This window comes from Homo sapiens, chromosome 14 (assembly GCF_000001405.40).
Source record: "Homo sapiens chromosome 14, GRCh38.p14 Primary Assembly".
Lineage (NCBI taxonomy): Eukaryota > Metazoa > Chordata > Mammalia > Primates > Hominidae > Homo > Homo sapiens.
This window is the reverse complement of record NC_000014.9, coordinates 90,684,502-90,696,981: the sequence shown is the minus strand read 5'-3', so window position 1 is coordinate 90,696,981 and position 12,480 is coordinate 90,684,502. Positions and strand designations below refer to the sequence as shown.

The following is a 12,480-nucleotide window of genomic DNA, read 5'->3' as shown; positions in this document are numbered from 1 at the left end:
TTACTTAAGAGAACTGAGCTTCAGTCCAAAGCAAATGTACTTTGTTGCCTGTGAACATGGATCCCATAAAAACAAATGAAGGAGAAAGCAGAGTAGATTGCATGTCCCAGGGCCTGTTACCTAATCTTTATTCACGTCTCTGTTAGGTTTCCTTTAGTGCTGCTTGGCATCCTGAGCACAGCTTCTCTTTTTATGCCACCATCAAGCTTCTGATCTGATATCATCTGATATGTGTGGGTGAGAGGACTATGGGAGTATTTATGTACCTATGCCAATAAATCATTATCTTAAAGTTCTGGGGCCATTCTTGTGCATGAGAGCCCTGGGATGTCATGTAGGTATAAGATGCGAATTAATAGCCCTCATGAGTGCTTGTAACTTACAGAACCCACATTCAGTTTGATTTAATATCTTTGCATGATTCAAAATGTCGTCCAAGAAGAGAGCCAAATACCTAGAGCATCTGCCACGGCCTGCAGAGGCTGGCTGACACGTTTGCACTGGCTGACCCACACTGTGGCTTTTTGGAAAGATGAGATATGTTCTAATGAGCAGGTTATAAATATCGCCGAGTTATGTCATAGGTGGTGGCCGTGCTTAATGTAAAGGGACCAGCTGGGGAGCGTTCCCAGCTCAGCAGGCTGGATGCAGCTTTCAGAGAGGACAAGTGGGGCTTGAAAATATTGACCAGGATGTTACAAAATAATTATTTGTCTCTTAATGAAACATGTCACCAAATGTGTCCCTGTGGGGTGTGAGTGGCAGCGAGATGAGGTGTGCTCTGCTCACACTCAGGGAGCTCGGGTTCCAGTTGTCACATGCTCGCTCTCAGAAGGGGCCTCTGACCCTTTGCTTCTTTTTCGTCAGTGTGGGGTTTGGAGGAGGGTTGGTTTGATGAATTTACTGGGTTTGATAAGTTTATGTTCTCAAAGATGCAGAGTGGTTGCTTGGTGGAGTTCCTGTTTTTTTGTGCCTTCCATCTTCATATTTTATCCTTACCCATGTTGCACACGGTGCTTGCTCATATTCCTGTGCCCTGTTGCCCAGTGTTGTCTCCCACCTTTTAAATGAAAATATAGATTTCAGTCCCACTCTATAGAGCCATTGAGAGTTTGAACACAGACTCTTCTAAGGTATCTTGCTTTTTAATTTGTTGGCTTCAACTGATTTTCAAATTTTTATTTTTTAGAGAAAATGTGCTAGGGGTTAGAAAACACAAAAGGCCATCAATCTTAGGTCAAATGTTTCATTTAACCAAAGATGGCTAGGCATGTGCAGAGTAATCGTTTGCTTAAAATCTAGCCAACAGCTTTTATGCAGACAAAATGCATTGAAACGTGCATATAAAATATTTAATATTAATACATGCCAGATGAAAACCGTCAAATTCTGTGTCCACACAGGAACTTGACAAGAGGAGTCGGAAGATTTAGAGAGCTTCTCAGAGCAGTTGAAACAAGAACGACTCAAAACCTGCGAATGGTAAGTGTGAACAGTGACTTGATTGAGGCCAGCAGGGCACTTGTCTCATAGGTATTTACATTCATATTTTTTTACATTTATGTATTATAAATATATGTGACATATATGTGTTATAAATATATGTGACATATATGCATTATACATATATTTATAATAAATATATGTGACATATATGTGTTATAAATATATGTGACATATATTTATGTACATATATGTCACATATATTGTATGTGTGACATATATATGTATATAAAATATACATGTTTTATAATAAAATGTATATAAAATATACATGTTTTATACTAAAATGTATATAAAATATACATATTTTATATGTATATTTATTTATTTTATATAAAATAAAATGTATATAAAATATACCTATTTTATAATAAAATAAAATATATTTTATAATAAAATAAAATATATTTTATAATAAAATAAAATATATTTTATAATAAAATAAAAAATATACATATATTTATAATAAATATATGTGGCATATGTGTTATAAATATATGTGACATATATTATACATATATTTATAATAAATATATGTGACATATTATACATATATTTATAATAAATATATGTGACATATATGTGTTATAAATATATGTGACATATATTTATGTACATATATGTCACATATATTGTATGTGTGACATATATATGTATATAAAATATACATGTTTTATAATAAAATGTATATAAAATATACATATTTTATATGTATATTTATTTATTTTATATAAAATAAAATGTATATAAAATATACCTATTTTATAATAAAATAAAATATATTTTATAATAAAATAAAAATATACATATATTTATAATAAATATATGTGACATATGTGTTATAAATATATGTGACATATATTATACATATATTTATAATATATGTGACATATATGTATTATACATATATGTCACTGGGCTTGTGAACTTGCGCAAGCCCTTTCACTTCTGTGTCATAATGGATATTTACGTGACATATATTTATAATATATAAATAGCAGTTTACTCATTTAAAGTTTTTAGCATATTCACAGAATTGTCCAGCTATCACTAATATTTAATTTCAGGACATCTTAATCACCCCCAAAAGAAACTCTATACTCGTTAGTAGTCAATCCCCATTTTCCCCTCCCCCTAGTCCCTGGCAACCACTAATTTACTTTCTGTTTCTATGGATTTGCCTATTTGGGGCATTTGCTATAACTGGAATGATACCATTCGTGGTTTTGTTTTTTTGTTTTGAGATAGAGTCTCGCTCTGTTGCCCAGGTTGGAGTGCAATCGCACAATCTTGGCTCATTGCCTCCTGCCCCAGCCTCCGAGTAGCTGGGACTACAGGTGCGCATCACCACACCTGACTAATTTGTAGTCTTTTTGTGATTGGCTTTCTTCACTTAGCATAATGCTTTCAAGCTTCCTCTGGGTCACAGCATGATCAGTATTTCTTTCCTTTTTATTGCCAAATAATATTCCATTGTGTGGATATATCACATTTTATTTGTCCATTCATCAGCTGATGGACATTGGGTTGTTTCTACTTTTGGGCAAGTACAAGTAATGCTGCTACGAACATTCATGTACAAGTTTTTGTGTGGACTTATGTGTTCTTTCTCTTGGCTGTATACTTAGAAGTGGAATTGCTGGGTCATATGGTAACTGTGTTTAACAATTTGAGGTGCTGCCAGACTGTTTTCCAAAGCAGCTGTACCATATTACATTCCCACCAGCAGTTATGAGGGTTCCAATTTCTCCACACCCTCAACAACAGTTGTTATTATCTTTTTAGGTGTAACCATCCTGGTGGGAGTGTGGTGATATTCCATTGTGGTTTGATTGGCACTTCCTTGATGGCTAATGATTTTGAGCATCCTTTCCTGTGTTGTTGGCAGCGTTCTCTGCTGAAACCTGAGAATTGCACCTGTTAAGGCAGGCAGAATGTAGGCCCTCGTGGCTGCCAGGGTGTTGAGGGGTTGGTGTATGCTTATGATTCATACCAAACCCAGACAGAATAAGGCAGATTGGATCCCGAGGGCTGCTAGTTGTTTGGCTAATTATATTGACTATAAAACTTGGAAGAAAAATATACAACATAGTTAAATTAACTGGTTGGTTAGCAATTTGACTCTCCTGTTGACTTGAATTCTTTCTTTTCTTTTTTTAATCCTTTCACTTTCCTATCTAGGGACGTTCATTAGGTAGACCTCTATAACTTGCCCTACACAGCCATAGCCAGTGGGTGCTTGAGTGGAGGACTGGTGCTTATTAAAACTAAGCAAATGCCACATGTCACAGTTGATGTAACAACCTCATGTAAGATTGCAATTTATCTTTTATTGCCCATACTTTTGTCCTTTCTTTATCATGAATCCTTTAAATGCTGTAGGAGATTATTCAGTTGGGCATGGCTAAGAGATTCATGTCATAGGAAATGACTTCATTGTGGTGTCTGCAGAGTTTTAAGAGGTGGACGTACAACTCATGGGGCCAGATGGCCAAGCTGGGCTTTCCTAGAATTATGGGGGTGAGACAGGATGGACAACTTCACACACACACACACACACCCTGCCATCACCACCACCAAGAGCTCAGTTGGCCTTCAAAATTTACTTAAATATCAATGTGATTTATAGGTGCCTTAAGAAGTTCAAACAAAATATTTCCATTTTTAGGATTCTTCAAGGCAAAAGAACCTACAAGAATATGGATAAAAGTTGTTGCCAGCTGTCTTTTCTCTCAAATTTACCTCTTCTCAGTATTCATAAAACTTCCCAACTGGTCAATATGAACAGCTTCTTCCAAGATTTGGAAGCACAATGAAAGTAACTGACTGAATTGGCAAGTGTTTTCGTAATTGTTTTAAAAGCGCATTTAAAAAGTCAGTTTTTCAAAATTGCTTAAGTATGGAGCATTTGTTCATATTGTTGACTCTCACTGGTATCTTGATTTACATTGGACGTTAGAAAGTTTCTCCATCTAATGACATTCATAAGCAGTGTTTCCATCAGCCTTAAAAACTATGATTTTTTAAGATTAGCTGATAATTGCAAATTTATAATATTCTTATGAGATGGAAAAGTTGCTTTGTAAACTCTATCTGGTGTGAGATCATAGCAGAGAAGGATTTGAAAGTATATTTTCAACAGTTCCACTCTTAGGTATATACTCCAAATAATTAAAAACAGGTGTTCTGCAGTGAGCTATGTGTGATTGCACCACTGCACTCCAGCCTGGGTGACAGAGTGAGACCCTGTTTCAAAACAAACAAAAAAAACCACAGATGTTCAAACAAAAACTTGTACATGGATGTTCGTAGCAGCACTATTTATGATAGCCAAAAGTTGGAAGCAATACACATGTCTAGAACTGAAGAATGGATAAGCAGCATGTGGTTTATCGATGCAATGGAATATCATTCAGCCATAAAAAAGAATGAAGTACTGATACATACACGATGATACTGATGAACCTTGAAAACTTTATGCTAAGTAACGGAAGCTGGTCACAAAAAGACCCATATCGCATACTTTAATTTATATAAAATGTCCAAAATAGGCAAATCCATGGAGCCAGAAAGCATGTTGGTTGTTCCCAGAGTCTGAGAGGGAGGGGAAGTGGGGAGTGATTGCCTAAAGGATATAGGGTTTCCTTCTGGGGTGATGAAAATGTTCTGGAACTAGATAGTGCTAATGGTTGCACAACATTGTGAGTGTCCTGAATGCTGTTGGATTGTACACTTTAAATAATTAAAGTGGTGGCTTTTATGTTATGTGAATTTCATCACAAGTTTTAAAACACATACACACACAAAAAGGGCATTTAATGACCAAATTTGTACATAAACATCCAGGTCTTATTTCAGGCCCACTTCCCACCTTTCTCTCCTTTGATCCTGAATTTATTTTATAGTTACCAACAATTGGATGCATTTAAACTACAGGCTAAATGTAGGTTGAGTTTAAAAAGTAAAAAGTATTCTAGATATTGGTGATCTTGCTGGTAATTTCATATTTATTGTTTTTTTCTGAACTTCATTTGAGCTTTCAGTGGACATAACCAAATGGCCTTCTTAATAGGTAGAGAACTGGTGAAGTGATGTCTTCAGAATATGCAATCACATCAAAACCCCACGTTTAAAAAATCTCTCAGGAAGGTTAATACCCTGAGAGAAAATGAGACCTAGCATGAGCTATCTAGTAGTGAACAAGCAAACTGTTTAGGGCAGAAATTTTTACAACTTTAAAATCCCTCCATGGCAAATGTATTCAGAAAATGAAATTCCTCGTTCATTTTTTTTCCTTTTAACACTTATTTCTCAGCTATAGTGAGTGGAAGTTATTTTTGCCAGTTGAAGTTTCCAGCAAAAGTCATTAGCTTATATGACTGCAATGAGATCAAAATGAAACTATAATGGAAGGTTTAAGAAACCAGTTCAGGAGCTGTTTAGGTCCTGAAAATTGTGTTCTTATGAGATCTTTACAGATTGCTCAGTTGGGGATGATCAGAGTGCATTTAATTTCACATTTTTATAGACATTTAATGCCAATGGGTCTTACTTGGGAATAATCAAGAAAATTTGCCTTTACCCAGTGGTTATCAGAAACCACTCTGTTAGTGATTTGGTTGGATTTAATTTTCCTTGTGGTGTTTTAAGAGATTTCATATGGATGAAAGCTTAGCAAAGCCCTCTTCTGAAACATTTACTTATTTTTTTAAAAAAGTCTCCTTCTCAGAAGATCAGCAGTCTTTGTCTGCATCTTCAAAGAATGCTAAAACCTGGTAGAAAACCATGCTGGTTTATGATGCCACCTCTGGCTGATCATGGGTAGAGTGAACTACCCTGGGATGCAGTGCTTCTCTTTTCAGAGGGATTTTTTTTTAAATTACTTATCCTCTTCTTTGTTACTGGAAGATTACAAGCTAAGTGAACTGACATACATCAGTCAACAAAACACTTCTTAGTACATACCACACATTCTTTTCCCCCATACATTATATTATACATCGTACTGTTTTAGGCAGTGGAATTACAGAAGTTTGGGAAGCATATTAATCTGCATCTAACTTGGAGGACAGGATCCAGATGTTTCTGGGTTTTCACTGTGAAGAAGGGGATACCCATCCAGCTTTAAAGAAAGGTCTTTCTTGATCGGGAACCATTTCCCACTTTGCCTTCCCTATTGCACAAGGCCAGTGAAAACCTCTGGGCCAGGAGCCCAGGATGCACTGAGAGTAGACACTCAGGTGCTGAGTCCTCGGGGGTGGGATGATTAGGCCCTGCCATTGGTACATGTAAGAAAGAAGACGTCTACAGTGGACATCGGATTGTCAGTGAGGATAATTTTTTCAGGGATAGCGTTATCTAAGCTGAGTACAAGCATTTTGCCAGGCTTGAGGTTAAGCACACATCATTAGTGATGCTAATATCTGCAGCTCACCTGTTATTTATAAGAGCTCTTGGGAAAGGGCTTAGCCAAAAGTTTCAGTTGTTTCAGGTATAAAACATGTTTAGTATTCCAGAGTGTGACAGGTGGGGTGGCATTTGAAGTACATGAACCTTTTAAGTGTTCAAACATCTTAGTGAATCATATTTTCTTTTCTTTCTTGTCATAAACTGGTATGATTACCATCGTAAAGGAAAAATTTTTAATTATGAGCCTTGCAGTAGTGCTTAGCACAATGTGATGATATAAATATTTATTGACTGACTGAATGAATGACTAATACAAGATAGATTCATGGCTATGCTTTTCCTCGTTTATGTTCCCAGACAATAGCCAGGCAGCTGGCAGAGATCTTGTTGCGGGGTATGTGTGAGCAGAGCTACTGGAACCCTCTGGAGGATCCACCGTGCCAGTCACCTCTGGACGATCCTCTCCGCAAAGGAGCAAACACAAAAACCTACACTCTCACTCGGAGAGCCCGTGTCTACTCAGGAGAGAAGTATGAAAGTTGATGTCCTCACTTGTAGGTTATGGGTTGGGAGGAAAACTTGGGAAAATTCAAGGATGATGAGAAGTACAAGAGTAGATTTTTTCCTTAAAAGAAAATCAAATGAACAAGTGTCATTTTCCAGTTTAGTAGAGATTCCTCATTACTTTTCGTAACTTCAGCAAATATCTGTGCACTAGCAGGGACATTTTAAGTAGGAGAATGCTCTCATCTCAGTGCTTGGGTGCCATTTGCAGCCATCACTATTGGCTTTTGGAATTTTCTTTCCATTTATTATAAGACCTCAGCATCAGACAGCAATCAGAAATAAAGCTATCTGTAAGCCATCTAACATCTAACATCGATCTCACCCATCTAACATTTCTTTTCTTCAGCAATTCCTTGATCCTTTTGTTTAAAATCTTGTTCTAAATGGAACTAGATATAAGAAGGAGAATCTAATATTTGCAAGTGATTGGAAGGTGATGTGTCTTTAGAACTTCTTTATCTTTTTTAAGTTTTAAATTTGAGACTTGATCACCTTGGAGGATAATGGGCCAGAGAATCACTATAGACTTAGCATGAGCCTTCCCCAGGCCAGGGGAAGCCAGACAGAGGAGGGAGAGACAAGGAGAAGGGCTGGGAGGCTGGAATGGTTGTTGACTCATTCTCAATGCCTCCCATTCAAGTCTTGAATTCCCATATTTTCCTGCTCTTTTAAATTTTTAAATTTTTTTTATTTTTTATTTTTTTGAGATAGAGTCAGGCTCTTTTGTCCATGCTGGAGTGCAGTGGCGCAATCTGCAACCTCTGCCTTCCAGGTTCAAGTGATTCTCCTGCCTCAGCCTCCCAAGTAGCTGAGATTACAGGCACATACCACCACACCTAGCTAATTTTTTTTTTTTTTTTTTTTTTTTTTTTTTTTTTTTTGAGACAGAGCCTCTCTCTGTCACCAGGCTGGAGTGCAGTGGCGTGATGTTGGCTCACTGCAACCTCCACCTCCTGGGTTCAAGTGATTCCCCTGCCTCAGCCTCCCAAGTAGCTGGGACTACAGGTGCGTGCCACCATGCCTGGCTAATTTTTTGTATTTTAGTAGAGACGGGGTTTTACCATGTTGGCCAGTATGGTCTCGATCTCCTGACCTCATGATCCACCCGCCTTGTCCTCCCAAAGTGCTGGGATTACAGGTGTGAGCCACCACGCTGGGACAATTTTTGTATTTTTAGTAGAGACAGGGTTTCACTATGTTGGCCAGGCTGGTCTTGAATTCCTGACCTCAGGTGATCTGCCCACTTTGGCCTCCCAAAGTGTTGGGATTACAGGCATGAGCCACCACTCTGGCCTTTGCCTGTTCTTGTAAGGACAAGACATGATGGCTTTTCAGAATCTCTGTGTGAAGGAAAGGGGAACACACATGAATAAATATTGAAGACCTTTTCCATGTTTTCAAATTAGAAAAACAGCTGAGAGGATGAGGTGGCTGCTTCTGAAGTCCCAGAGAAAGCACTAATAGAGATGGCGTGACTACACGCTTTCTCCATCTGAAGATCAAGATTTCAAACATCTGAAAATGACTGTTGTACTTTCAGAGGAGTCGGCATTTCTTCAAGGTTGCCACCTCTTAATAATCCTCTTAAGTTGACCCTTGCATTTCTCTCTCTTGTCACCTTCTTGTTCAAGTTTGTGTTTCTTACATGGATTCAGATGAGTTAGCATATTCTTAGGTTTTTCCCTCGGCTTATCGTAATTTAGTTTTCATCCCCCTTTTCTACAGCCTTGTTGAACCATGAGTTTGCTTAATTCACAATATGTGTTTACTCTTTAGTCCTTATCTGGATTCATAGAACATCTGTTCTAGCAATTTTCAATGCTCTTATTTTTAAAATGCTGACCCCTCATTGTGAAGCAGGTTTGGGGTTCATTTTTAAGTGATATTTATATCATAAAAATAGACTCTAAAGTTTTCCCCTGCTTTAGATGCTTCTTAATAACCAAGGTGCCAGGTGCATTAAGGACCTCCATTCTCACCCTCTTCCCCCAGTCCACTTTGACACATGGCCAGAGCTCTGTGTCTCTTTGGGTGCCATCCAGTATGGCCTCACCCCTTGAAGGCAGAGAAGCTCACAGTGCTGGCCATTTCTCCATTTCCTGAACCACTCAGATTTTGTCACTTTTCTAATGTCAGCTTTCCCATGTGTACAAGGAGAATTATAGAAGCAAAATACAGCTCCAGAAAATGCAGTCATTAAAGGGAGCATTCCCGTAGTAGCACTGTCTACTGAGTCACAAGTTTCAGTTCACATGGATACACGTGATCAGCTTTTAAAAAAACTGTTTTATTGAAACATAATTCACATATTATACAATTCATCCATTGAAGGTGTGCAATTCAGTGGCTTTTAATATACTTGCCTAGTTGTGCATCCATCGCCATGATTGGAACATTTTTATTACCCCCAAAATGAACCCAGCACCTCTTAGCTGTCACCTTCCTGTCTCCCAAGCCCTTGCATTTCCATATGAATTTTAGCTTGTCCATTTTTGAAAAAAAAAAAAAATAGGCAGCTGGGATTTTAATAGGAATTGCATTGAATTTGTAGATCAATTTGAGGAATAGTTCCATATTAAAAATATTAAGTCTTCTGATCCATGAACATGAGATATCTTTCCATCTATTTAGGTTGTCTTTAATTTCTTTCAACAATGATTTGTATTTTTCAGGATATAAAGCTTGTATTTCTTTTGTTACGCTTATTCCTAAATGTGTGTGCACACGTGCGTGCACATGTGTGCATGCAAATATGCATTATTCTTTTTGATGCTATTATAAATAGAGTTGTTTTCTTAATTTCATTTTTGGATTGCTCACTGCAAGTATATGGAAATACAACAGATTTTGTAAATTGATCTTGTGTACTGTAACCTTGCTGAATTTGTTTATTGGTCCTAATAGTTTTTTTGGATTCCTTAGGATTTTCTATATCAAGATTGTGTCATCTATTAATACTAATATAGATGGTTTTACTTTTTCCTTTCTAACCTAGATGCATTTTATTTTATTTTCTTCCTTAATTGTCCTGGCTAGAACTTCCAGTACAATGTTAAATAGAAGTGGCAAGCATGGATATCCTTGTCTCATTCCTGATCTCAGGCGGGGGAAATTATCTAGTCTTTCACAGAGTATGGTGTTCACTGTGGGCTTTTATAGATGCCCTTCATCAGGTTAAGTAAAGGGCTTCCTATTTCTAGTTTGTTATTTTTATTATTAATGGGTGTTGAATTTTGTCAACTGCTTTTTCTGCATCAATTGAAATGATAATGTGGGTTTTGCCCTTTATTCTAATGCTGTGGTGTATACATTAATTGATTTTCACACATTAAGCCAACCTGCATCCCTGTCCAAGTCATGGTATATACTCCTTTTTATTATTGCTGGGTTCTATTTGCTGATATTTTGTTAAAGATTTTTACATCTATATTTATAAAGGATACTATTCTGCAGTTTTCTTATGATGTCTTTGTCTGGTTTTGGTATTAGAGTAATATTGGCCTCATAAAATGAGTTGGAGACTATTCCCTCCTCTTCTTTTTGAAAGAGTTTGTGGAGAATTGGTATTAATCCTTTAAATCTTTGGTAGACTTCACCAGTGAAGCCACCTGGACCTAGGCTTTCTTTGTAGGAAGTTTTTTTTGTTTTTTTTTAAATGCTAATTCAATCTCTTTACTTATTTTAGGTCTATTTGTATTTTCTATTTCTTCTTGAATCAGTTTGAATAGTTTGCATCTTTCTAGAAATGTGTCTGCTTCATGTAAATTACCTAAGTTGCTTCCGTACAGTTGTTCATAGCATTCCTTTATAATTTTTTTGTATTTCTACAGGGTTGGTTGTCATGTTCTCTCATTTCTCATTTTAGTAATTTAAGTCGTTTTTCTCTTTTTTAGAGTCAGTCTAACTAAAAGTTTTGTCAATTTTGTTGATCTTTTTGAGGAACCAACTTTGGGTTTTGACTTTTTTCTGTTGTGATTCTGTTCTCTGTTTCATCGATTTCCACATGAATCCTATGCCTTCATTTATCACCATCAGTTTTTAGCTTTGTAATTTTGTGGGTTCAGAGCTCTACTTCTTAGAATATTAGTAAAGAGGAACAGCTGTGGGAGTTATTCTTGTTTGGAGGTTCCCTTCTTACCAAGGCTGGACTCTGACCCATTCACATTGGCAGAAAGCACATTCTCACCATTCAGTTATGCTGGTTTGGAGGTGGGAAAGGGAATCCGTAGATAATGTGCAAACCTCATTTTGGCTAACAGTCTCCTTCTCCACAGTCTCTTATGAGAAGTATAATAAGTGTCAAGCAAAATTTAGATGGCAGAGATCCCTCTAGCTCCAGAAAACCACAAGGACCATTCAGAAGAGTTGGTTGTAATGGAACATAACTGAAAAACAATCCCTGCCAGGAAGCTGCACCCCAGGTCAAAGAGACCTGAACGTGAAATGCATACAGGATGCTCACTCTGCCCATCTTGAATTTGAAAGGAAATACAATGTAGAAAATCCTGGATGGAATGAGAAGAGGGATCACCTGTCATAGGCTTCCTTGCTTTCTTTCCTTCTGGGTGGTTTCTGTGAAGAATTGTATCAGCTTTAGTTTACTTATTTTTTAGAGTAAGCTTTTTTGGATACACACCATACATAGAGAAAAATAAATCAAAAGTATGAAACTTGATGAACTTCCACCAAGTTCATCAACATATCCATGTAAGTAGCATTTGGTCAGGAAAGGACACTACTGGAGCCCTACACGCCCTCCCGTGGCCTCTTCCAGTCACCACCCCCATCCAGGGCAGCACTCTCCTGACTTCTGTCACAATAATTAGTCTGGCCCCTTTTTGAAATTTATATACATGGAATCATACGATATGCACTCTCTAATGTTTAACTTCTTTTGTCTAACTTTATATTTGAACTATTCACCCATATTTCTTCATGTAGCAGTGTTTTTCATTGCTGCGAGGTATTTCATTTTATGACTGTCCTCCAATATATTGACCC

At 37.1% G+C, this 12,480-nt stretch overlaps 1 protein-coding gene across 3 annotated transcripts in view; it reads left to right on the top strand.

Annotated features, from left to right (window-relative positions):
- TTC7B (tetratricopeptide repeat domain 7B) overlaps window positions 1-12,480 on the top strand; it is a 291,867-nt gene that overhangs the window by 119,449 nt on the left and 159,938 nt on the right. For all 3 annotated transcript variants that reach the window (NM_001320421.2, NM_001010854.2, NM_001401365.1), the window contains exons 6-7: window positions 1,404-1,482; window positions 7,270-7,442. In NM_001320421.2, the coding sequence (NP_001307350.1) occupies window positions 1,404-1,482; window positions 7,270-7,442 (252 nt within the window). The remainder of the gene's footprint in view (window positions 1-1,403; window positions 1,483-7,269; window positions 7,443-12,480) is intronic.